The sequence below is a fragment of the Homo sapiens genome, chromosome 13, assembly GCF_000001405.40.
Source record: "Homo sapiens chromosome 13, GRCh38.p14 Primary Assembly".
NCBI classification, from domain to species: domain Eukaryota; kingdom Metazoa; phylum Chordata; class Mammalia; order Primates; family Hominidae; genus Homo; species Homo sapiens.
In genome coordinates this window covers 112,322,184-112,348,067 of record NC_000013.11, presented here as the reverse complement: position 1 = coordinate 112,348,067, position 25,884 = coordinate 112,322,184, and the positions used below count along the sequence as shown (strand labels likewise).

At 49.0% G+C, this 25,884-nt stretch overlaps 2 long non-coding RNA genes across 2 annotated transcripts, besides 1 other annotated feature; both read left to right on the top strand.

Annotated features, from left to right (window-relative positions):
- Positions 758 to 1,546: an enhancer, noted in NCBI's record as "OCT4-NANOG-H3K4me1 hESC enhancer chr13:113000836-113001624 (GRCh37/hg19 assembly coordinates)". NCBI's record gives its function as "activates a minimal SCP1, AML or CMV promoter by ChIP-STARR-seq in naive and primed H9 embryonic stem cells {active_cell/tissue: H9 hESC(naive and primed)}" and the evidence as "EXISTENCE:reporter gene assay evidence [ECO:0000049][PMID:30033119]".
- On the top strand, positions 14,457 to 15,988 carry LOC124903250 (uncharacterized). The gene is made up of 2 exons (XR_007063944.1): positions 14,457 to 14,807; positions 15,349 to 15,988. It is a non-coding gene; the product is annotated as an uncharacterized LOC124903250 (long non-coding RNA).
- Positions 15,989 to 16,842: 854 nt separating this feature from the next.
- Positions 16,843 to 25,501, top strand: LINC01044 (long intergenic non-protein coding RNA 1044). The gene is made up of 3 exons (NR_126345.1): positions 16,843 to 17,009; positions 20,523 to 20,822; positions 25,312 to 25,501. It is a non-coding gene; the product is annotated as a long intergenic non-protein coding RNA 1044 (long non-coding RNA).
- The last annotated feature ends 383 nt before the right edge of the window (positions 25,502 to 25,884 follow it).

Below are 25,884 nucleotides of genomic sequence, written 5' to 3'. Positions count from 1 at the left end.
CAGATTAGATTTTTTAAGGTGCACTGTTCAGATTCCTTAATGATTGCAGCGCCTGAGTCACTGAAACAGACGATATTCTAACATTGCCCTCCGAAGTCCTGGAAGATCATCAGACTAAAGGTGTAACTCGAATATGTAAAATAGTTACATTGTTTCATAATTTGCTGTATATTTCTAAGTTATTTCTACCTGCAACTTTTACTAAAATATACAGCAAATGATGAAACAGAATATGTAAAATAGTTACAGTTGTTATTCATTTCCCCGCTACTGTAAATATGACCCTTGGGCTCTGTAGAAATGCTCTGTGAACAGACACCTTCTACTAGAGCCATAGAAAATGATACTGTGGATCCGCTCACATAAAATCCGCAGGGGTTGAATGTCTGGCTGGAATTACGTGCTGTGGGTCTATGAAGAAAGAGATGGCTACTGTTAACACCATGGTAAAAGAAGTAAAGAACATGTTTCCTTTAACATCTGTAGTAAAAGAGGATTGTGTTCTGTAGAAGAGAAAATACACCTAGATAAGGGTAATTTATTTTTAAAATTCTTAGTTTTGTAACATGAGTACCAGTAGCTGTACCTGATATACAATAATTATACCCATTGGTGCTATTTTGTGTTACTTCCTTTTGAACAGGAACTAAAGAATGCTTTTTACTATGTCAACACATTTTAAATAATGACATATTACCTTTAATTTTCCCATTTGAATTTAAGGTTTTCTTTTGATCAACATTGATTTGTCAGTTATTTCTACATGCAACTTTTACTAAAATATACAGCAAATTATGAAACAGCTTCACAGCCTCAGTTTAGCTGTCACTGACGTCGTTCCTCTGTCAGTAATGGCCGCAAATCGCACAGGGTCTGTCTCGGCACCTTATTTTTATTTATAAATTCCACTTCATTATTGCAACAAGACACTGCAGGTAGTGCATTTGTATGGAAAGACCGCCTCTCCTTCTGGTGAAAGTCTCTGAGCCTTTAGCCTGAGAGTGCAGGATACCCCCCGATGTGCTCGGTAATCGCCCACATTTGCAGGGCACGCTAGGGCTTCTGCCTTCCTAGCATTTAGTGTGATCGTTTTAAGGAAAAAAGAACTATAATAAAAATTATGTGCTGGGGAGAAAAACTCAAAAAGGAATGAACTATGAAATAATGTAATTGTCTATAGGGTCTCGAACTTTTGTTTTTGATATGCAGAAAATGTTAAGAAGTTATTTTATCTTGCCGCAGATGCTCTCAAGGGAGATATTAAAGACAGACTTTGACAGGGCCTTTTGGCTGGGTGCATCCTGGAGGCCTGGGGCTGACTTCTTAAAAGGGTTAAGCTGCTGTGTTCGCATTGAATTACCACTGTCATCCAATTCATTAGGAGAGTTTATGGAGTTACAATCTGTCTGTAATTTATAGCCTGCTTACTGACAAAGCTTAACGCTAACATATGCCTAATTTGCCGAGGTTATCTCAAGTTCTATTCATCTCCCCCACTAACAATATGCCTCTGATTCCATGCTGCATGGATGAGGTACATGCGGTTTCATATTTAGTGCTATCAATCACAGGCAATTGCCGGCAGCTCCCGCCTCGGGGCTCAGAGTGATTTCCCCACGGCTCCTGATGACTGATGAGAGGGCGGCTCGGCCAGGGGAGGGCGTTGCTTGAAGCCTCCCTGGAGCGGCAACGGTCCAGCAGAGGCTGTTCGAGGCTCGGCAACTGCTCTGAACCTGCCTTGCCGGCGTCCTCTCTCTGGGGAGCTGGCAGATGTGATCTGGAGAGCCTCAGGGGCATCCGGTGGAGGCAACTCGTAGCCCTGCCTGAATGGCCTGACACCACCACACCAATGTCTGGTGGAGGAGGTGTTCACGGGCTCAGGTAAATGCTGCCCTCATTGCCCTCATCAGACACATCACAGCGCAGGGACATGAGAAAGGCCTGGTGCAGTCGAGTTTCTAAGCTTCAGTGTGTGGGGCTTTGCCCGGCCCACCTCGCAGCTGCATGCCCAGCCCTCTGCTGAACACCTTCCATCTAAGCTTAGTGCCGGGCGCCCGCCCAGAGCACAGCTCTCCTGGGCTCCTCTCCTTCTCCCTTGAGGAGTGACCTTGCCCAAATGTTTGATCACCTTGTGAATTTCTTGATGAAAAGTAGCCACTGCTTGATAGGAGAACTACATAATGAATATGGTTGTTTAGTTCTCAGCATGTGAAAAGAATACAAAACTGTATTGTGTATCTCTGAAGCTGATATTCTAGAAACATCACAGTGTTAGCTACAGAGCGTGTGGGACCCTTAGTGTACCTGATAGGCATTGACTCTGAACCGTGCTCTGAACTCCTGCCCCTCGACTGCAGCCTTGGGGGTCCCAGGCAGGGAACAGAGGTTTGTGTAGCTGCATTATCCAAATGTCAAAACTTAAAAGTCTAGCCTATGAGTGACATGGGATTGATCCCACACACAGAAGCAAATAGTTCTAGCAAGTCCTAAACTTGCTGGGGAGACAGCAACCTGATTGAATGAGGACATGAACTTTTGTACGGGAGGCCAGCAGCAGTAGTCATGAAAGAAGAACTCACTGGGAAGAGGCTTTCTAGTCAAAGGCAGACGCACCTGCTTCCAGCACAGGGGCCGTGATTTCAGTGTCTTTGTAGAATTTGCTACTAATTTCACCACAGAGACCCCGGGCAGGCCTGATGTGGCCTATGTACATTCCCTCCAGATGAGGGACCTCTGTTCATTTTCACAGCCCCCAATTCCTTGGGTCAGAATTTTCTTTCTGCATTCCTTAATTAGATCCTTACTGATAGTTAACAACAACAACAACTGAAGCCAGAGGCTGCGGAGGGCAGGGTGGTGGGGGGCGGGGGAAGTGAGGAGATGTCCTTTACGGGGTGCAGAGTTTCAATTTTGGGAAATGAAAGAGTTCTAGAGATCTTACACGACAGTGTGCATGTACTTGACACCGTGGCACTGGACCCTGAAAAATGGTTAAAATGGTAAATTTTAATATATGCGTTTTTTACCATAATTAAAAAAAAAACCCAGAAGTCTAGACGACCAACTCACAGGATACTGTTTATGATGTCATTGCAACCATCTCCTGGAAACAAGTGGAACCCGCGGACTCAGGCTAGGGGTTCAAATCTCCTCTCAGGGCTGGGGGTTCAAATCTCCTCACAGTAAAGGCAAAGCTCACATGTTGACAGCCTGTCAGGGGAGGTGAGGGGCACGCGTCGTGAACAACAGAAAAGACTTTTTACATAAGTCTTTTTGCTCAGAAGTTAGAGGAATTTAAACATTTTTTTTCTTGCACCATTGATTCAGAAGGCAGAGGGGCTACTAGGCCAATTTTGCCGCGTTCTTCAGAGCGACAGACAAGGAAGAGGCAGGAGCTGAGACCTCACCGTGGTAACAGCTATTTCCCTTCTGGTTTACTTCCTGGCTGATTACCCAGGGTCGAGTCCCTTTCAGAGCTGGTAACGAGACACATCGCTGGTACTTTCCCAAATCTGTTTACCATCTTTTGGACTCCGTAATGTGAGGACGACCCTCCAGAGCAGCTTGCCCGTACAACATTTTCTCTTGGTTCGCAGCCAGTAGTGGCAGAGTCTGATTGTTCTTCAGATTACGGGATTACCAACTCATCCCTGGAGAGTTAATTCAGTAAGATTTTTGCTTATGTCAGAATCCTAGGTACACGCAGGGAGCGTCATCTTGTGCTTTTTCTAACCTGAGGCTAAGAAATGCTGTCTCGTCTGCACATTGGCGTTTTTGGGATAGCAGAGGGAAAAGGCAGAGAAGAACTGTCTGAGCCTCACTGAGCCCTGATGCAGGGATCTCGTCACTAGAAGCAGAGAGATGAGTGTGCGCGCTTGTTCTAGCCCGTATTTTGGAAGTCTGAGCACTAAGAGTTAGACAAAGGAAAGGCATGCTTCGCAGGGGCCTCCATGGCCATGGAGGTCACATTGTCTCTGAATTGTCAACGAGAGAAATCCCTAGAAAAACGTGCACAAACGAAGGATGAAAACGATGGTCTGGCATGGGGTGAGGAGGTGATTCCTTCGCCAGCCCATGTGCGAACTCCCCCTGCTTTCAGGACAGGGACGTGGTCTCCACGGAGAGAAGCATGGGCGTGGGCTGTGCCATCTGAGAAACGGGCGGAGGCGCTGAAGGGCCGCAGCCCTGGCCGTATGCACCCCTAGGGGACAGCTATTTATTAATAAGCTCCCCCGAGCCCTGGACAGAGAGGAGGGTGACGGCGAGGACACGCCGCGCTGGGGCTGTTTGGGGGGCGGCCAGCATGCGGCAGCCACCATTTACTGAGCACCTTTGGAGACGAGGCCCTGTGTTCGGTCCTTCATCCTGCAGAAGGATCCTGAGATGAGCATGGGTTTGGCTGCAGAGGCGCCTGCCCAGGGCTGGCTCGGAGACCACTGGGATATAAGGTCGACTTCATCCCGTTCCCCGGACCGGTTAGATAGAAAGGTACTCAAATTCTTTTACCAGATGTATTTTTAATTACGAAAGTAACACAAGCTTTTGAAGTGATGCATCCTTACTTGGAAACACCCTCTGTTAAGAAGAGGGAAAATGAATGATTCCTTTCCACTCCCAAAGCTGCACGTGAAGCGTTTGTCCTGTCTTGTTTTATTCCCACTTTCCGGGCGGCAGAAGGGGCGTCTCCCGTGGGCGCCTGGCTAGCACCTGCCCTGTGCGTGGGGAGTCCCCGGAGGGCGCGCGGTGGGCTCGGGTCCCCTCCCCGTCCCTCCCCGGCCTGGCCCCGCGGGCCCAGGGGCGCTGCTGTCGGCTTCCTCCCCCGCAGACCCCGGCCTGCCCCGTGGACTCGCCTCACTCACGCGGACCCCATCCGCCCTGGGCAGGGCCTAGGACGCAGCGTCTTGGGGGCAGACCCGGGCCACGCCGCGACGTCCCTGGATTCCCGGGAGGCTGGGGCTGCCGCCCCCCCGAGTAAGGCCCCGACTGAGCGTCCGGGGTGTGGCCGGTGATCCCCGCGTCTCCCCCGCGCAGGCGGCTCTTCCTGCACCAGGTCCCGGGACCTTGGGCTCTCGGGCATCGCTGCCCGCCTGGAAGGGAAGGTGGTCTTCAGGCCCGCCCGGAGGGAGGACGCTGTTTAATCTGCGTTTTCATTAGTCCCAACCTAGGCTCGAAGGCTGCTTCTCACGCCGAGGGCAGGTGGAGGGGGGGCTTCGGAATAAGTCTCTGAAAGCGTGGCTACTAGGCATCCATGGCCGCTTACGCAGAGACCCCCCCAGACATGAGCCAGTGCCTGGAGCCGCCCGTGGCTGCTGTTGGAGATTGCCCCGGTGCTTGGCTTAAAACTGAAATTCCTTCCCTCAAAGTTCTGGGGTCAGAAGTCAGAAATCCAGGCGTCTCAGGGCCCCACTCCCTCCGGGGGGCCAGGGAGGGTCCTTCCTGCCCCTTCCAGCCTCCTGTGGCGCGGGAGCTCCTTGGCTTGCTCTGCATCGCGCTGGTCTCTGCCTCGTTTTTCTCGCGGCCACACTGTGCTGTGCTTTCACTTCCCGTGTCTCTTAGAAGGACACCTGGCGTTGGATGCGGGGCCCGCCCTAATCTAGGACAATCTCCTTTCCAGGTCCTTAGCTACATCTGCAGAGAAGCCTTCCCCAGACACGGTCTCCTTCTTAGGGTCTGGGGCTTAGGACCACTGCCCAACCCCCTCCTCTAGTTTAATCCTGATCACACCAGGAAAGGGTGGGACTGTTCCCATTTTGCAGCGAGGAAAGTGAGACCTCATGAGGTCAGGACACTTTCGTGGTAGCGAGAATTGATGAGGACAGGGCTGGGTCTGTGGCAGGGGCCAGCGCGGCGCCGTGGGGCTCTGTCCCTTGCTTTTCTTTTGGTTTTCACAGCGACATTTCAAATGGGTTTTGAATTCAGGTGAAGATCTGGCATCACCCTGGAGCAGCATTCTCAATCCCGGCCGCCCCTGGCCGCACACAGGACACAGCTGTGACATTAGACTTCACACAGGCTGACTGGGGGGCCTGAGAGCCGGGTCCAGGCTCTGGGCTGGGCTCTGAGGAGCAGGGGTTTCGGCGAATCCCGAATGAGCAGCACCCTGAGCACCGTTGTCCTAGAAATTACAAAATAGACAGAAATCAGTTGATTTCCCAGTTATTTTCCTTCTAATCACTATGGTTCTTTAACAATCATGAAACCGTTCTCAGATTTTGGTACAAGAAAACATACATAGGCTTTGAGAGTTTCTTACACTTAAGCCACAGTCCTTCCCATCTGCGGTTTTGCTTTCTGTGTTTCATTTACCCAAGGCCAAGTGTGGTCTGAAAACCGGTTACTATAGTGCAATAAGGTATCAGGGGGAGAAAGAGAGAGAGAGAGAGGCGGGGGGAGAGGGAGAGGGAAAGAGAGAGAGAGAGAGGGAGAGAGGGAGAGAGAGAGAGAGAGGGAGAGAGAGAAAGAGGGAGGGAGAGAGAGAGGGAGAGAGGGAGAGAGAGGGAGGGAGAGACAGGCAGAGGGAGAGAGAGGGAGAGAGAGGGAGGGAGAGGGAGAGAGAGAGAGGGAGAGGGAGAGAGAGAAGGAGAGGGGGAGGGGGGGGAGAGAGAGAGAGAACATGCACATTCACATAACTTTTATTGCAGTAGATTGCTATAACTGTTCTAGTTTGTTATTAGCCATTGTTGTTAATCTCTTACCGTGCCTAATGTATACATTAAACTTTATCGTGAGTATACAGGTATAGGAAAAAACAGTACATACAGGCATACCTCAGAGATATTGCAGGTTCAGTTCTAGACCACTGCAATAAAGAGAATATTGCAATAAAGTGACTCACACAAACTTTTTGGTTTCCTGGTGCATATAAAGTTTACACTGTACTGTAGCCTATTAAGTGTGCAGTAGCATTCTGTCTAAAAACAATGTGCAATCCTTAATTGAAAAATACTTTACTGCTAAAAAATGCTAACAATCATCCGGACCTTCAGCAAGTTGTAATCTTTGCTGTTGGAGGGTCTTGCCTCAATATGGGTGGCTGCTGACTGACCAGGGTGGTGATTGCCGAAGGATGGGGCAGCTGTGACAATTTCTTAAAATAAGACAGTGAAGGTCGCCACGTTGATGGACTCCTCCCTTCATCAAAGTTTTCTCTGTGGCATGTAATGCTATTTGATAGCATTTTACCCACAGTAGAACTTTCAAAATTGGAGTCAGTCCTCTCAAACCTTGCCAATGCTTTATCAACTAAGTTTATGTAATATTCTAAATTCTTTGTTGTCATTTCAACAATGTTCACAGCATCTTCACCAGTTCATCTCAAGAACCCACTTTCTTTGCTTATCCATGAGGAAGAACTCCTCATCCATTTACGTTTTCTCATGAAGGTGCAGCAGTTCAGCTACATCTCCAGGCCCCACTTCCAATTCTAGTTCTCTTGCTGTTCCCACCTCATCTGCAGTTCCTTCTTCCAGTGATGTCATTAACCCCTCAAAGTCACCTATGAAGGTTGGAATCAACTTCTTCCAAACTCCTGTTAATGCTGACATTTTGGTTTCAAATTTCACTTCACCAATGTTCTTAGTAGCATCTAGAATGGTGCAACCTTTCCAGAAGGTTTTCAATTTACTTTGTGCAGACCCATCAGAGGAATCACTCTCTCTGGCAGCTATAGCCTTACAAAATGCATTTTCAAAAAAAAAAAAAAAGACCTGAAAGTCAAAATCACTCCTTGATCCATGGGCTGCAGAATGGATGTTTTGTTAGCAGGCATGAAAACAATATTCATCTCCTTGTACATCTCCATTGGCACTCTTGGGTGACCAGATGCACTATCAATGAGCAGTAATATTTTAAAATAAGTCTTTTTTTTGTCCAAGCAGTGGGTCTCTACAGTGGGCTTAAAATATTCAGTAAACCATGCTGTAAACAGATATGCGGTTATCCAGGCTTTGTTATTCCATTGATAGAGCATAGGTAGAGTAGATTTAGCATAATTTTTAACGGCCTTAGGATTTTTGAAGTGGTCAATGAGCATTAGCTTCAACTTAAAGTCACCAGTTGCATTAAAGTCACTGGTTGCATTAGCTCCTTACAAGAGAGTCAGCTTGTGATTTGTAGCTTTGAAGGAAGGCACTGACGTCTCCTCTCTAGCTATGAAAGTCCTAGATGGCATCTTCTTGCAACAGAAGGCTGTTTCTTCTATGTTGAAAATCTGTTGTTATTGTGGCCACCTGCATCAGTGACCTCAGCTGGGGCTTCTGGAGAACTTGCTGCAGCTTCTCCATCAGCACTTGCTGCTTCACCTTGCACTTTTATGTTATGGAGACGGCTTCTTTCTTTCAACCTCATGAACTAAACTCCTGCTAGCTTCCAACTTTTCTTCTGCAGCTTCCTCACCTCTCTCAGTCTCCACAACTCTCTTCACTGAAGAGAGTTGGGGGGTTGCTCTGGATTAGGCTGTGGCTTAAGGGAATATTGTGCTGGTTTCATCTCCTGTCCAGACCACTCATACTTTCTTCACATCAGCAATAAGGCTGTTTCACTTTCTCATCATTTGTGTGCTCACTGGAGTAGCACTTTTAATTCTGTTCAATAATTTTTTCTTTGCATTTGCAACTTGGCTATTTGGTGCAAGATGCCTAGGTTTTGGCATCTCAGCAATTGACATGCCTTCCTCCTTCAGCTAATCATTTCTAGCTTTTGATTAAAGTGAGATATGTGCGACTCTTTCTTTTACTGGAACACTTAGAGGCCATTGTAAGGTTCTTAACTGGCCTAATTTCAATATTGTTGTGTCTCAGGGAATAGAGAGGACTGAAGAGAAGGAGGGAGGTGGGGAGACGATTGGTTGATGGAATAGTCAGAACATACAATGTTTCTCCGTGAAGTTCACTGTCTTATATGGGCACTGTTTGTGGCACCTTAAAACAATTACAATAGTAACATCAAAGGTCACTGATCACAGACTACCATAACAGATGGAATAATGATGAAAACTTTAAAATATTGTGAAAATACAAAAATGTGCCACAGGGTCATGAAGTGAGCACCTGCTGCTGGAAAAATCGTGTTGTCAGTCTTGTTCACCGCAAGGTTGTCACAAATCTTCAACCTGTAAAAAACAAATAAACAAAACCCCACAGTATCTGGAAAGCACAATAAAGTGAGGTACAATAAAATGAGGTGTGCCTGCACGGGGTTCCGAAGGAGCTTCGTCTTCAGGCATCCACTGGGGTCTTGCAGTGAGTCCCCATGAATAAGAGGGGATGCTGGACACAGACAGGTGCCATGGAGCCACACAGCACTGGGAGAAGATAAGGTGGGTTTCGGGTTTGAATTCTCATTCAGTCACTTCCTGGCTTTTGGATGCTGGACTTTGCAAGTCGCCAGATCTGTCTTGACCCATAAATTGGAGACAGCACCGTTTTCCTTGATGAGTCTCCATGGTGGCAGACAGATGCCACCAGCACTGCCCTGACACACTCCCCCAGCCCCCACTGGTGATGCTCATCACCCATTCTTCGCTCCAGGGACTGAGCACTGCCCTGGCACATGCCCCCAGCCCCCACCGGTGATGCCCATCACACATTCTTCATTTCAGGGACTGCGCTTATCCTTAGTGGGTTTTCTCTTCTAAAATTGTCTAGTCTTTGAATTATTTTTTTTAATTTAAAACTTTTTATTTTATTTTATTTTAGTGTTGACATTTTATCAGTTTGAGTGAACTGCAGAAATCTTACATTTCTGTAAGTTCATTATCACCTCCTGCCTTTGTAAAATCATTGTTTTGCAATTTCCTACACATACATTGGGAATCACAGCATGATTATTTTTGCTCAAACTTTCAAACAAAGTTTAGAAAGCTCAGGAGGAGGCTGGGGGCAGTAGCTCATGCCTGTAATCCCAGCACTTCGGGAGGCCAAGGTGGGTGGACTGCTTGAGGTCAGGAGTTTGAGACCAACCAGGCCAACATGGCTAAATCCTGTCTCCACTAAAAATACAAAAATTAGCCGGGCATGGTGATGGGCGCCTGTAATCCCAGCTACTTGGGAGACTGAGGCAGGAGAATTGCTTGAATCTGGGAGGCAGAGGTTGCAGTGAGCTGAGATCACACCATTGCACTCCAGCCTGGGCAACAAGAGCAAAACTCTATCTCAAACAACAACAACAACATCAACAACAACAACAACAATAAAAAACCAAAAAACAAACAAAAAACCTCAAAAACCTCAGGAGGAGGAGGAAGGTCTGTTGTCTCCACCAGCATTTCCTTTCTTTCTGTCGCTGTTCCTTCCTTCCTCACCTTTAGAGATTCCCTTTTCCATCATTTCCCTTCTGTTTAGAGAACTTCCTCTCTCCATTGTTTTAAGACAGGTCTGATTGTGATAAATTTTCTCCATTTTTCTTCATCAGAGAATGTCATGATTTTCCCTTAAGTCTTGAGGAAATCTTTGCTGCATATAGTATTCTGGGCTGATAGTTCTTTTCTTTCAGCCCTTGAAGAATTTGTGCCCTATTGGGACTAGTCTCTAGGGTTTCTGATGAGAAATTTGCTATCTTTTGTATTTTTTTTCCCTATGAGTGATGCCTCCTTTCTCTCTGGCTGCTTTTGGGAGTTTTTCATTGCCTGCAGCTTCTGAAGTTTGACTGGGATACGGGCTGTGCCTTGGCTTTGCTCAGGTTCTTGATTCTGAAGTGTATGATTTTTGCCAAATTTGGGAAATTTTCTTCCATTATTTTTTTAGATACTTTTCCAGCCTCGTCCTCATTCTCCTCTTCTTCTGGGGTTCCAACAACACGAATGTTAGGTTGTTGTTTTACTTCCAAGATACTGGAGGCATTTTATTCTTTTTTTTTTTTTTAACCTGTCTTCTCTCTGCTGGTCAGATTGGGTAATTTCTACTGTTCCATCCTCAAGTTCATTGGCTATTTCCTCTGTCTTCTACATTCTTGTGTTGAGCCCATCCAGCAGGTTATTTTATTTGCATTATCATACTTTTCAGTTCTAACATTTCCATTTGGTTCTTTGCTGTATCTTCTGTTTCTTTGCTGATGCTTTCTATTTTCACATATGTTTCCAGCAGGTTTGTAATTGTGACAATTGCTTGTTTGATAGTTCCAGCATCTGTGCCACGTCAGAGTTGGTGTCTGTTGCTTGTCTTTTCTCATTTAAGTTGAGATTTTCCAGATTCTTAGTATGATGAGTGGTTTTCATTTTATTTTATTTTTAGTTCTGGGGTACAATGTGCAGGGTGTGCAGGTTTGTTACATAGGTAAATGTGTGCCATGGTGGTTTGTTGCACCTATCAACCCATCATCTAGGTATTAAGCCCAGAATGTGTTAGCTATTTTTCTTGATGCTCTCCCTCCCTCTGCCCCCACCACAGGCCCTGGTGTGTGTTGTTCCTCTCTCTCTGTCCATGTGCTCTCATTGTTCAGCTCCCACTTGTAAGTGAGAATATGTGGTGTTTGGTTTTCTGTTCCTGTGTTAGTTTGCTGAAGATAATGGCTTCCAGCTTCATCCATGTTCCTGCAAAGGACATGAACCCATCCTTTTTATGGCTGTGCAGTATTCCATGGTGTGTATGTACCACATTTTCTTTGTCTAGTCTATCATTGATGGGCACTTGGATTGATTCCATGTCTTTGCTATTGTGAATAGTGCTGCAATGAACATACACATGCATATGTCTTTATAATAGACTGATTTATATTCCTTTGAGTATATACCCAGTAATGAGATTGCTGGGTCAAACGGTATTTCTGGCTCTGGGTCTTTGAGGAATCACCAGATGATGATTTTTAATTGTATCTCAACATCTTCAGTATCACACCACGTTCTTATGTTCACCTTCTGCTTCAGCAGGTCTCCTCTGACAGCACACCATCAGGAGAGGAGGCTGTTGCCTCATTACTGTCAATTAGCCATAGAAGTCTGGGTTCCTCCACAGGTGCCCTGACACCTGGGGTGTTGGGAGGTGCCTTCTGAGTGCAGGGGGTGGAGGTCAGACTCTCCATCAGGTCTCTGCTGATCCACCCATCAGGAGTGTGGGCGGGGCCACAACCTCTCCTCTGGTGCTTGGCTGGAGGAGGCCATTGTTGTTGAAAAATTTTCCTTCCTGCTAAGTTGCTCCATTCCTTTGACCTAGAGAGAGAACTGGCTTTTCTTTGGCCTTTTGTTGGGTCTGTGTCTGTTAGTGTTTCTGCGTGGCTGGACTCTCCAGGCCTCAGTGAGGATAAAGAAAATGCTACATGTTTCCTCAGGTCCTGCTGTCTCTAGTCCGTCTGCCTTCTCGAATTTTCACAGCTTTTTCTTGAGTGTTTGATGTATAATACATACAGTTCTAGCTGTTCTTAGTGAGGGGAATAGAGAGAAATGGACCTACTTCATGTTGTCTGGAACCAGAAGTTCCTTAATCTGGTTTTGTGGCCGATGTGCAAAACATCATTTATCTCCTTCAGCTGTGTGCAGCTCACCTGCACCACATTGGAGGCCCCGGTGCCGTTCCCTGCCATGGTTCTCACCAAGGAGCTGCTTGAGCATCCTTCTGAGAGCCAGGCCAAAGCTTCTGGGCCCACAGGATGGTGGTGTTTCGGTGCTGGGTTGAAAGAGGCACACAGAGGAGGCGGTGATCTTGATGGTGGCAGCTTTTCTGGATCTCATTCCAAAGGCTCTCCAGCTTCCAGGGGAAGTAATTCTCCAACGCGTGCCCGAATCCTGGCCTGCCTCTGGCGTGGGGTGGCTTCACAGCACGGATGTGGGAGGGTGGAGCTGCTGTTCTCAAGTGGCCTAGTCTCTGGGCAACTTTGCGCTCTTAATGTGCTTACAATAATAACTACGAAAACTGAGAAATTTAAAATATTAAATACATTTTGTGTAAACCTAGCATATTTTTATTAAAAGTGATATTTTCCAAATACAAAAAATTTAATGAGAAGAGTGGTCTTGGTGTGTGTGCCTTTGCCAATCTCTTTCATGCCTGGCTTAGCAGGAGTCAGTGGATTCTCACATCTCTTTCTGGTGGAAGTGGATGAAGATAATTCCATTCTCTCAGATACACAGTTGGTAAGAGGAGTCTTTTAATGGCCTTTTCAGTTACATGTGGATCTTCTTTGATGATACACCAATTAGGCAGTTTATTTAAGGTTAGTTATGACATGGGAATCCAAAGATATAGCCATGCGTTGCTTAACCGCGGGGCGATTTCTGAGAAATGTGTTGTTAGGCAATTTCATCACTGTGTGGACATCTGGAGCAAGCTTGTCCAACCCATGGCCCATGGGCCGCATGTGGCCCAGGATGGCTTTGAATGTGGCCCAACACAAATTCGTAAACTTTCTTAAAACAGTATGAGATTTTTTTTTTTTAGCTCATCAGCTATCATTAGTGTTGGTGAATTTTACATGTGACCCAAGACAATTCTTGCAATGTGGCCCAAGGAAGCCAAGAGATTGAACACCCCTGATGTAGAGCGTGCTGACTCAAACCTAGATGGTAGCACCTGCTGCACACCTCAGCTCTATGGTGCAGCCTCTGACTCCTAGGCTACAAACCTGCACAGTGTGTGACTCTACTGAACACTGTAGGCAACTCCAACACAATGGTAAGCCCTTATGTGTCTAAATATATCTAAACATAGAAAAAATACAGTGAAAATACAGTACAAAAGATAAAAACGGGCACACCTACACAGGGCACCTCCCACGAATGGAGCTGCGGGACTGGAAGTTGCTCTGGGTGAGTCAGGGAGTGGGTGGGGACTGGCTGTGAAGGCCTCGGACATGACTGCGCTCTACGGGTGACTCACAAACGCTGTACCCTTCGGTGCACTACACTGACCAAAAATAGTTTTCTTCTTTAAATCATACGTTAACCTTAGCTTACTATGACTTTTTTTACTTTTATAAACTTTTAATTTTTTGACTCTTATAATAACACTCAGCTTAAAACACACATTGTACAGCTGTACAAAAATATTTTCTTTGTATCTTTATTCTATATGCTTTTCTTCTATTTTTAATTTTTTACTTAAAAAATTTTTTTTTTGTTAAAAACAAAAATACAAACACACACATTAGCCTCGGCCGGGTCCTGGGGTCAGGACCGTCGACATCACTGTCTTCCGCCCCCACATGTTGTCCCACTGGAAGGTCTTCAGGGGCAGTGACACACACGGAGCCGTCATCTATGACAATGCCTTCTTCTGGACACCTCCTGAAGGACCTGTCTGAGGCTGTTCTGCAGTTGACTTACACATATATAGAAAGAGCAGTACTCCAAAATAATGATGAGAAGTACAGCATAATAAATACACCAACCTGTGACATGATCGTTTGTTACCATTATCAAATATGACTGCTATAGCTAATTGTGTGTGCTGGGCTTTGTCACATCACAGCCATCCTGGGGTCACACAGTGCATCACTCACGTGGGTGCAGTAATGCTGGTGTGAACAAACCTGCTGCGTGGCCGGCATGTAAGAGTCTAGCACAGACAGCTGTGTACAGTACATAGTACTTGAGAATGATCATCAACAATTATGGTCCTGGTTTATGTATTTACCACACTGAAAACAAAGGTTGTGGTGAGGTCAGGGGTATGGGTCAGAAGCCCAGAAACCTGTTAGGTAGAGGGGAGGAAAACGTGGGGAAGGAGAATAGGCAGAACTATCAAGCTCGGCCTTGGATAAAGGATTAGGAAGAAAATGCAGGATCCCAGGTGCCGGGGCTAGTGCGGAAGCCAGGCAGGGGCTGGGAGGGGCAGGAACACCTTCAACAAATGCCTACCGACCCCTGCTCAGCCCCACAGGTGGGTCCAGCTCTGAAGTCCAGTCTCCACTCATTCTGGACAAATGCGGGGGTGGCTTTCATCTCAGTTCCCCAGTACAGGGATGGGGAGGCCTCCGTAGGTCTTGGCAGCCCTGTTCTCTGGAGCCTGTGTCCGGCAGTCCCCTCTCTGTGTGGGGGGAGGGTGGAGGTGCCCAGCTGTGGCGTGGGGACAGACGCCAGGTGGAACGCGGCAGTAGCCTCCAACTTGCCTTTTTCTGGGTTTCCAGAGGGATCATTGGTGCCTTTACATGTTGAATTCCAGAAACCAGCCACTCCAGCCAAGACACACGTGGAGAGTGGACTTTGGCAATGGCCGTGGCTTTGGCAAAACTCTGACCGTGTCAGGCTCCTTCTCCCCTTGTAGAAATAAGGCCAGACTGTGCCGAGGCCTCAATGCCCGCCTGCGGACTGAAGGTCTCACCCAGGCTGCAGGGAGATGGAGGGGGAGGCCAAGAGAGGGTGAGCAGGGAATTGAAACCCATGGGGTAAAACTATTTTATTCACTTTATTTTTTCATAAAGGACCAAAGGCCGCTGTAGGCGATGATCATCCCCAATCACGGCCCTCGACCGGAGCGCACTTCCCCGCATCTGGAGCCATCTGCATCTGTCTCCTTTGCAGTCTGCCGGTAATTGGGTCTGAAATCACACGCGTCCCACTCAGCTACATTTACATTTCCTTCTTGCGCTGTTTTTATATCCAGAGCTGTTGAAACCACTCCTAGGATGAATTTCTAAACTTAGACCATCTCATCCTCAAACGGCAAGAAAGAAAGTGTGATGTGTCTGTGAATCTGCTGAATGGGCCGAGGGGTGTTTTTAAAAGATCATATTGCGGGGAAGAAGCAGGCACTGCAGAAACCTATGGATTGGGGTGCTAAAACCTACGAGCTTCCCAGGAAGCTGCCTTTTGGGAGCCCGAACTATCCCAGAACTTTTTCCTAGTAGCAGATCACAATCACCGTCTCTTCTGTGAGCCCGCTTCAAGCCAGCAATGAAAGGACACTTCTGCACGCCAGCAGTAAGAGTAGGAAACCCCACTCTCCCTACAACATAAGGGCTACACATTTGAGATCCTCTCAGAGGACTTTTTAAAAAAATAACATCTTTCATTTATGCTTGAGCAGGGAGAAGAGTCATTAAAAAGAAGAGATTTTTAAAATCCCTGTCCAATGCTTTTGGCCAGCCAGCCGCTCAGGACAAAGGGCTGCCTGGTTTGGGGACCTAATTATCCGGAGGCCAAGGCGCGGCTGCGGGTGATGGGGCTGCCGATTCCGCCGCGAGCACAGTCCGCCTCATTGTTGGTGAATTTCCTGCTCTTGGCACTTTCTTTGGCAGCCTCATGGCCAGCACCTGTGCACTCAGACCTGGGGCCTGGGACGTCTACACAGATGTCACGGCGCTTTTGTTGATTTCCTATTAGTGGCACTTAATAGGCAGGCGCTGGGGACAGCTTGGCTCGGCTCCGGGGAGGGGCCGCAAACATCGCTCCCTTGGTGGGCGAAGGGTCAAATGGTTTCTAAAGCTCGGCCAGATAATTGCTGGTGATTAGCAATTTTAATTAGCAGGTGCGAGGGGTCGGGACCCCCTTCCCTGTAATTGGACAGGTTGTTAACATTCGTGGAGTTGTGACCAGGGAGTATATTTTACTAATACTCTCCAGCTCTTTTAAAGTTAATTAAATTAAAGGAGCTAAAACCACCAGAGACGGCCTGAGATCTGATGAGCCAGATAGGAAAAGTTTTCAGTAAAACTTGTCTCACTGGAAAAAAAAAGAAAAAAAAAAAAAAAACTTCAAACACAGCCATGAATCCCTTGTGAACGCCGCGTGGCCCCGTGCGTGTTCTTCTGTGGCTGCGGAAGGCTGGGGCCGTGAACGTGTTTTCTCTGCCGGGTGCCTCACGTTGGGACTCGGCCCGTCGGGGTCCGGCTCTTCTGTTCCGCGCACTGACTCTTAGGGGCTTTGTTCGGTCACAGCGAGCAGAAAACCAGCGTCTCCCCGGTGCAGCCTTGGAAGGGGCTGGACACCCGCTCATGGCCACAGAGGGCAGCTTCCGGGCGACGCTCCAGCTCTGCCTCTCGGACTCCTCACGGACACAGGCGTGTGTTTGAAACGGATCGATGTCCCCCCGGTTCCTTTCACAGACACCAGAAAGCCCGCGAACACACCTCACAGGCTCCGAGTAAGTGCAAGAAGAGGGCGCGGCAGGAGTTTCCCGGGGTCTCGGGGCGCAGGGGTGGTGCCCGCAGCACTCGCCTCTCCAGGCACGCGGGAGGCTGCGCGCAGCCCGGGCCGGCTCAAAGGCGGCGAGAACCGACGCAGCCACACCGCCACCTCGAGCGTGGCGACAGGGACGAGCTCACACACGCGGCAGGTGGGGCGCAAGCCGCCAGGAACACGGGCCCGGGGTCGGAGGAGGGGCATGGGGAGAAGAGGAGGCACCCACAGGCGGCGAGTTCAGAGTGGGAGCAGAGGCCGCGACGGAGCCTCGACCTCGGTCCCTGAGGTCCCAGGGCTGCGCCTGGCTCGGCAGACTCCGTCTAGAGATGCAGAAGGCGGGGCTGTGAGCGCCTCGCCCGTGACCTTCGGTTTCTTGGCCCTGTTGTTAGAGGCTTTAATTAGAAGTCTCTTCTTTCCATGACACATTTCTAATGCTCTTTGCCCACAACACAGACACTCGCTCTGAGCGCCAATAGGAACAATTCGTTCATGACGGGAGAACCGAGTGCTCCATTCTGAGTTCCCGCAGAGGGTTCTGTGCGTTTCCAGAAAGAGCAGATGGGGGCGCGGGCGTGTGTTTGAAGGAGCTTCGAAGAGGGTGGCCCCGTGGGGTGGGGTGGGGGGATGGGGCCTCGTGGCATGTGGAGGGTGGGGTGGGGGGATGGGGCCTCGTGGCATGTGGACAGTGACCCCAGGAAGCTTCCAGCCAAGAGGCGTCACTCACATGGAGCCGAGTGTGACTGAGGGTGAGCGGGTGGTGGGAGGCTACGTCCCGGGGGCGGCAGGCAGAGGGTGAGGTCCTCGGCCATGGGTGAGACTGAAGAGGGCCGCAGGATGCGCTGTCAGGGGCTGCTCCGGTAAGTATGCAAACATGGGGCATGTAACATGCATCCCTGACGGCTTTCCTTTGTGATTTAAAAAGCATGTTTTGGCCCGGTGCAGTGGCTCATGTCTATAATCTCAGCACTTTGGGAGGCTGAGGTGGGCGGATCACCTGTGGCCAGGAGTTCGAGACCAGCCTGGCCAACATGGCAAAACCCCATCTCTACTAAACATACAAAAATTAGCCGGGCGTGGTGGTGCGCGCCTATAATCCCAGCTACATGGGAGGCTGAGGCAGGAGAATCACTTGAACCCAGGAGGCAGAGGCTGCAGTGAGCTGAGATTGTGCCACTGCACTCCAGCCTGGGCAACACAGTGAGACTCCATCTCCAAACAACAACAACAAAACTAAAAAAATTATTGTATACATGTTTACAATAATACCTTCTCCCCACACCTGATTCACCTGTAGTCGTTTTCTGGTGCCCCTCATACCTCTGGGGAGCACCGGCCACCATGCCCCAGGTGGCAGTGTACGTGCCCTGCCCCTGGCCCGTCATCCCCTGATGGTCTCCTGAGTGGGAGCATGGAGCTGGGGGAGTGTGCCCAGGAGACTCTGAGCCCCGGCAGAACAAAGCGAGCTCTGCCTTCAGCCCTTTGGCCTGAGACTCTGTGCCTGAGAGTGGGAGCAGGACCCTCTGCACCCAGGGCAGCTGAGGGCAGCTCCTGGGGTTCATCAGCTTTGTTGAGTGACTACAGGCAAGTCCATAGAGAACATTCCTTCCTTCTTGTTTTGCTTTCACCCCATAATCTTTAAAACCAGTCTGCAAAAACATCAAAACACCTGGCTCAGAACTCAGGACTCGGGAACTCCTGCCAGGCTTTTTGGTGGAGGCTGCAGGCAGAGGATGGGATCCACTTGGAGGAGGCAGGCAAATCAGATGTGCAGGGTGGTCACTATCATAGTTTTCCAGGAAGGTCATGCTCCTGTGTGGAGCAGGGTGGACAGAAGGACCCAGGGGCTGGTGTAGGGCAAGTCGCTGATGCCCTTAGTTAATGGGGCCCTGAAGCAGAGTAAGTCCCAGCAGGATGGCCCGGCCAGGTCCCTGTGAGGTCCCCGGCGAATGGAGGTGAGGCCAGGGGCTGAGAAAGGACTCCATCTGCAGATGAAACCACAGAAAGTCCTGCTTCTCAACTTGGGGGTTTGGCTTGGGCAACGCCCTTGGTGAGACAAATCCAGAGCAAGGATGGTGAAGAACGCCCATTAGTCAGTGGCCTTCCTTTGTCTCTTAGCTTTTCCCTTGCGATATGGTTTGGCTCTGTGTCCCCACCCAAATCTCATCTTGACCTGTAATCCCTATGTGTCCAGGGAGGGAGGTGATTGGATCGCACAGGCAGTTCCCCCATGCTGTTCTCATCATAGTGAGTTCTCATGAGAGCTGATGGTTTTATAAGTGTCTGGAAGTTCCTCCTTTGCGCTTCTCTCTCCTGCCACCTTGTGAAGAAGGTGCTTTCTTACCCTTTGCCTTCCACTGTCATTGTAAGTTTCCTGAGGCCTCCCCACCCATGAGGAACTGTGAGTCAATTAAACCTCTTTCCTTTATAAAGTACCCAGTCTTGGGTATTTCTTCATAGCAGTGTGAAAACAGACTAATACACCTTGGAAATAATCTCATGCTTACAAAAGAGTTGCAAAAATAGCAAAACTAGTATAAAGTGTCTGCCCTACCCTCCACCCAGCTTCCCTGAAGGCTGCGGTTACGTAATTCATTGTGTTAAACTTACAGTCACATAGCAGATGACACTATTACCAGCCGGTCTACAGGCCTTGTGTGAATGCTACCAATTTCCCTGTGATTGCCTCTTTTCTGGTCCCAGACCCATTTCAGGGCCCAGGTTGCTTCTAGCTGCTGTGTCATTTGTCGCTGCCCAGCTGGGGGAGTTCTTCCTCCCTGTAGATTCCTCTTCAATGACCATGGCAGCTCTGGAGAGCTGATTTTATAGGATGCCCCTCTGTTTGGGTTCGTCTGATGTTTCTTCATGAATAAATTAAAATTATGCATTTTTGGCCAGAATGCCAAATGTCCTTCTGGGGCCTCCCGGCAGGCACGTGACGTCCCCCAGCCTCACTCCTGGTGGTGCAACTTTGACCACACAGGTAGGTGGCATCTGCCGGGCATCTCCCCTGTCAGCTTGGGATTTTCCCCTTTGCCATGATTTGGTGTCTTATGAAAAGGTATCTGGGGACTACGGAAATAGCCAGTTTCTCATACTTTTGCCTGCCGATCTCAGCTCCCTTGAGAACACTGCCTTCTACGCTTCTTCCCGTGCTGCTTGCCAAATGGTGGTGCTCCTGCTTTTCCCGTTTCTTCTTTCCTTCCACACTGAGTAACTGGGAGTCTCCTGTGAGAAAGGGCTGTCTCTCCCCACCCTATGTACTTATTTGATTACCTATTTTTATCAGCTTAAGCTCATGGATATTTATTCTATTCTATGGAATAGAATTTATTATTATTACTATTATTGTTCTTAGTTTAAAATTTCCAGCCCTGGCCACTGGGTGCTCCTTCAGTAGAAGAGCCCTACTAAAGCCACGTGCTGTGGAAGTGTGCTTTTCTAAACTTTCATTTTTTTTTTCTTTTCTTTGAGACAGAGTCTCACTCTGATCTTGGCTCACTGCAACCTCTGCCTCCTGAGTTCAACTGATTCTCCTGCCTCAGCCTCACCAGTAGCTGGGATTACAGATGCCCATCACCATGCCCGGCTAATTTTGTATTTTTAATAGAGACAGGGTTTTGCCATGTTGGCCAGGCTGGTCTCGAACTCCTGACCTCAAGCGATCCACCTGCCTCGGCCTCTGGGATTACAGATGTGAGCCATCGCACCTGTGCGTGAAGGTTTTCTAACCTTCTATCAGATTTTCTAACCTCCCCAAGCCACAGGATGAGAAAAGGTGAGTGACACTCTCAGGGACACAGGGCGGGGCAGAGGGCAGGGGCTGGCTGTGCGGCTGGCTCCTGGGGGATCACACAGCAGTGGGAGGGCCTGGTGCTGTCTATGGCTGCGGCTGCTGTCTGTACAGTGAACTGGTGAGAACCATGCAGATGTGGGGGACACGCCCCTGAGCACAGTCAGTGCTCTGCCCAAATCCAGATTTCTTTTCATCAGTGTTCTAAGGAAAGGATGCTGAACGTAGCGATGCTATTCAGGGACCTGTGGTGCCAGGCGAAGCTCAGTGCTGCACGCGAGCTTCCAGTCAGTCCTCAAAGCCACCTCAGAGCCAGGGCCCAGGCTATGGGCACGAAGCTTCATCAAGGAGGGTATCAGGGTGTCCGGCTGCTATGGAATATGACGGGGGTGCTCTCGCATGTGCTTGCACATGCTCTGTATGCATTTCTGTGCCCTCGTATACTCCCGTGTGCCCTTCTGTGCTTGTGTGTGCTCTCCTTTGCACTCGTGTGTGCTCGTGTGTGCTGGTGGGGTGAGTGTGATGCTCTAGGGAGGCCGTTCCCTCCGGGCGGCTGCCTTATCTATCTGCCCTGCCTCCCCAGGCCCCGCTGACTCCAGGCCTCCAGGAGATGGGGATTGAGCACCTGCCCTCTGTGTGCCCGGCCGTGGGTGTCCTGGGCTGAGCAGGAGGCACTGGCCCCACGTAGCCCTCACAGGGCAAAGCTGCTGCTCCCAGGGCAGAGGACATGTCTTCTCCCTGCCTGCTGCCTGGGGCTACTTTGTCCCTCACCTTGCTCAGGCCAAGACCCGACGCCCTGAACTGTGGTCACTGATGGGTGCCAGGTGGATCTCCGGGCACCGTGAGCCGGGCTGAGCTTGTTTTCCACGAGCCCATCGCTGTGGGTGTCGTGCACGTGCTGGGGCTGGCTCTTGTCAGGGAACACTGTGATGACTCACACGCCTAAAAATAGCGTCTTGATGTCCTGAAATCATACAACAGAAACATTTCTAACCTCCTCCAAATTCCATGGGTGACTGGGACTTTTGGCTGTGGTCTGCTCCTGAGCACTGTCAGAGGCTGCGATGGGCTACCGGGTCCCTCTTCGGTCCGGCTCGTGGGGAGGTGCCGGTGGGCGGTGCAGGGAACGAGGCTGGGGTCTGCACGCGTGTGCTGTTTCTCGGCCTGAGAGTGAGCTATGCATGCTGAAGGCCTGGTGGGTGGGCAGCCAGGAAAATGCTTTGTGTTTTGGGGTCTGTTCTTCACTCATTGTAGGAGACTCTGTGTAGTTTAAGCTCTAGAGAGAGTGATCTCTGGAAGCCAAAATAGACATAAAGTTTACATTCAAATGCCGTGTATCTCAGTGCATTCAGAAATGCGCTTAAATGCTGGAAAGCACTGCTTTCCCCGTGGATGACTGAGGTTTCTTCTATTTCGTTATAACGTTGTTTCTGGAAAAGAGATCATCAAGATGCAGAGGCCGTGGCTGCGACGGAGGAAGGAAGTGGGGGAGCCACGGCAGGAGAGAGGAGAGAGAGAGGGAGCTCGGAGGAGGGGGCTGCCTCGCGGTGTTCAGGACACCTGTGCCCCGGTTACCTGTCTGTGTCCCCGTGAAGAGTTGTTACTGCTCATCGGTTGCTTCCGCCCTGCAGGAATCATGGTCCTTTCGTGTGGCGAGGTCACCAAGCAGCGTCACCACCCCAGACGACAGCAGGTCACCCTCCCTGGCTGCCGCGTGGCAGGGCGGGTTCAGGGACGGACTCTGCGCTTCACTCTGATTTTTGTCATTTTTGTGGGTTGAAGTTAGACCCCCTATTCTGTTGTTTGAACACAGATCTGGGCCACTTTACTGATATTAGTTACCTGCTGTGCCTCTTAGCACCTCCCGACTTCCTTGCTGTACTCTGAAAATGCAGGTTTTGTGCACCTGAATTATAATCTTGCTGTGATAATGCGCCTGTATTGATTCAACAAAATGAGTTGTCTATTTTGTTTTCACTTCGACATCTCTAAGAAGGAAAGACTGACAATCGGGAACATAAATATTTTGGACTTCACATCTTGTGGCATGAAGATGATAAAAAAAAGTGTAATAATTACGAGGTAAAATTTTACCAGGAAATGCAGTTCTGTTTGAACTGGAGGATGAACTCACAGAAAGCACTTATTCTAGAGCAGTGTTAAAATGCTTCAATTGCCCAAGCATCTAAAAGGCAGAAAATTGATAGCATTCCATTAAAGGTGCAACAAACCAAATCTAAATATGTAGAAACTGCTGCCTGGGTCAGGATTGATTTTAGGCTTTATAAAAAATATATAAAGGGTTTTATTTCTACAGTGCTTTATGCTAGACATTGTCTTTGGGCTCTAAGGGGTTTCTCTGATTTACCAAGCACGATTATAAATAATATCTTCAAAGGATTGCGGAATATTCTAACCCTACATTTTTTTTTAACATGAGTTTGATGTTTTCTCGTAGGTTCGGGTTCATTTAAATAGATTGGTTTGAGTTGGATTTCAGTGCTTAATTATAATTATTGTACGTAACTGAACATTTCAATATAATGAACCAATTGATCAGGCTTATATTCATATTTGAAGAAAACTGGTATTTTTGAAAACAAACAGGAAGATAATTTTCTTTAGAATTATGACTAATATGACTAAGTTTCCTGACTGTCCCCATCTCTCTCTCTGAGGCCCGTTACTGGTTTGGAAGATGCTTTAGAATCACAGGTTTTTGTTATTCCCTAGACTGACTGGGGCTAGAAAGGGGTGGGGGCGGCGGGGGATGATGCGGGGCTGTTCAGTTTCCACGCATCCCTCCCGGTATAAATGAAGCTTCCTCAGCAGATGGTCCTCGCCCCCCACCTGTGGCTGTCGTAACAAAGTGCCACACGCCAGGTGGCATATGACAGCACGAGTTTCTTACCTCCAGCTCTGCAGGAGGCTGGAAGCCTGAGACCCTGCCCCTCTGAGCCCCGCAGGGAGGAGCCTTTCGCCGCCTCTTCCAGCTCCTTGCCGCTCCTGGCTCGTAAACCCATCACTCCTGTCTCTGGCCCTGCTGCTGCATGGCTGTCTTCCCTCTGCGCATGTCTGTGTCCATGTTTTCCCATTTAATAAAGACATCGGCCATTGAATTAGGGCCCCCCCTACTCAGTGTGACCTCATCTTAACCAGTTATATCTGCAAGGACCCCGTTTCCATATAAAGCCCCAGGTGCCATGGGTTAAGACTCGAACACATCTTTTTGGGGGACATGATTCAACCCACGACAGCAGCCGTGGGTCTCAGGAAGATGGGTCAAGCGATGAACACACACCCAGCCAGAGCTTCAGTCACTCACTCTGCATCCGTGGAGAGGCCTCTCCATGCTTCGGGGCCTCAATGTCCTCATCTGTAGAGTGGGGAGATTGGGTTAGATCAGCCTTCCCAAGGGGTTTTCCACAGAGCTGGAGCTCTGGGAGATCAAATAGGCATCTTTCAAAATAAAGCCTTGGGCACGAGTGAGTTTGGGAACTGTGTTGGGCAAGACCACAGGTTTCATGATCTCAAGACTTCTCAGAGAAGTCACTCCCCAGTGCCTGCAGGAATCTGCAGGGGCAGGAAGCGGAGGGAGGGATGATGGCACACACCGGCTCTGAGGCCAGACCACACCCAGAGAGAATTCTCTGTTCTTCTGCAGAGAGAATCCCACCTCATGGCTGCAGTGCAGAGTCCACGCATGTCCAATTTGTACTTGCTTTTATAAATCTGTGTGTGTGTGTGTGTGTGTGCATGTGTGTGGCATAGAGAGAGAAAGATTTGTGCCTGCTTTTACTTTTCTTTTTTCCTTCAGCTTTTAAGTTCCAGGGTACACGTGCAGGGTGTGCAGGTTTGTTGCAAAGGTAAACACGTGCCATGGAGGTTTGCTGCACAGACCATCCCGTCACCTAGGTATGAAGCCAGCATCCCTCAGCTATTCTTCCTGATGGTCTCTGTCCCTCCATGCCCCACCCTCCGACAGGCCTCAGTGTGTTGTTCCCCATAGTGTGTCCATGTGTTCTCATCATTCGGCTCCCACTTATAAGTGAGAACATGCGGTGTTTGGTTTTCTCTTCCTGCATTAGTTTGCTGAGGATAATGGCTTCCAGCTCCATCCATGTTCCTGAAAAGGACATGATCTCATTCCTTGCTATGGCTGCGTAGTAGGCCATGGTGTATATGTACCACATTTTCTTTATCCAGCCTACCATTGATGGGCACATAGGCTGATTCCATGTCTTTGCAATTGTCAATAGTTGTGCCTGCTTTTTCATTGCTATTTACCGACTTGCGCTTTCTGGGTCATTAAGTCAGTTTTGGAACGAGATTTTAAAGGCTTCCTGGCCCCCCACGCGTGGAGTGCCACCATGGGGCTGGCTGTTGGTTTGGGCGCCCTACAGGTTCAGTGCCTGTGGTGGATGCTTCCTGCTGCCCACCCCCAGCACAGGGCATGCCATGGTCACCTTCACAGTGTGCGATGCTCCCGCCTGAGGAAGCCAGCCCAGCCAACGCAGAGCCAAGGACCACTGAAGGCATTGCCACTGCTACACGCTTGGAGCCATCCATGCCTGCAGCCGCGTTGAATGCCTTCTGCTTCTTTCCTATGCCAGCTTGAACTGGGTTACTTTTGCTTACAAATGAAGTACTCTAACTCAGGAAATTGGGACTCTAGGATGCAGTCATCAGGGACCCAGTCAAGATTGCAAATATGGGGATGGAGGTAAATGAGGAAGTGAATGACTTCAACAGAAATCCCTCTCTATAAACTCCTACTGCCGGTGAGTCCCTGCGGCTGACACATGTCCTACCTAACGTGGAAATCTCAGCCTCCAGCCCAGGGCACGCGAGACATCCAAACCTCACTCACTCAGCATCTGTCTCCTGGACTAGCAGTCACAGTACATCTGTCCCCGTCTACATCCTAACAGGGAAGCCTTCCCCAAAACAAATCCAAGTGTTCTTCTCTCTATGAAGACTTTCGATCAAAACCAGATTCATCTTCTGGGTGGATACATGTGCCTAGCCCACCAGCATCTTCTCTGTG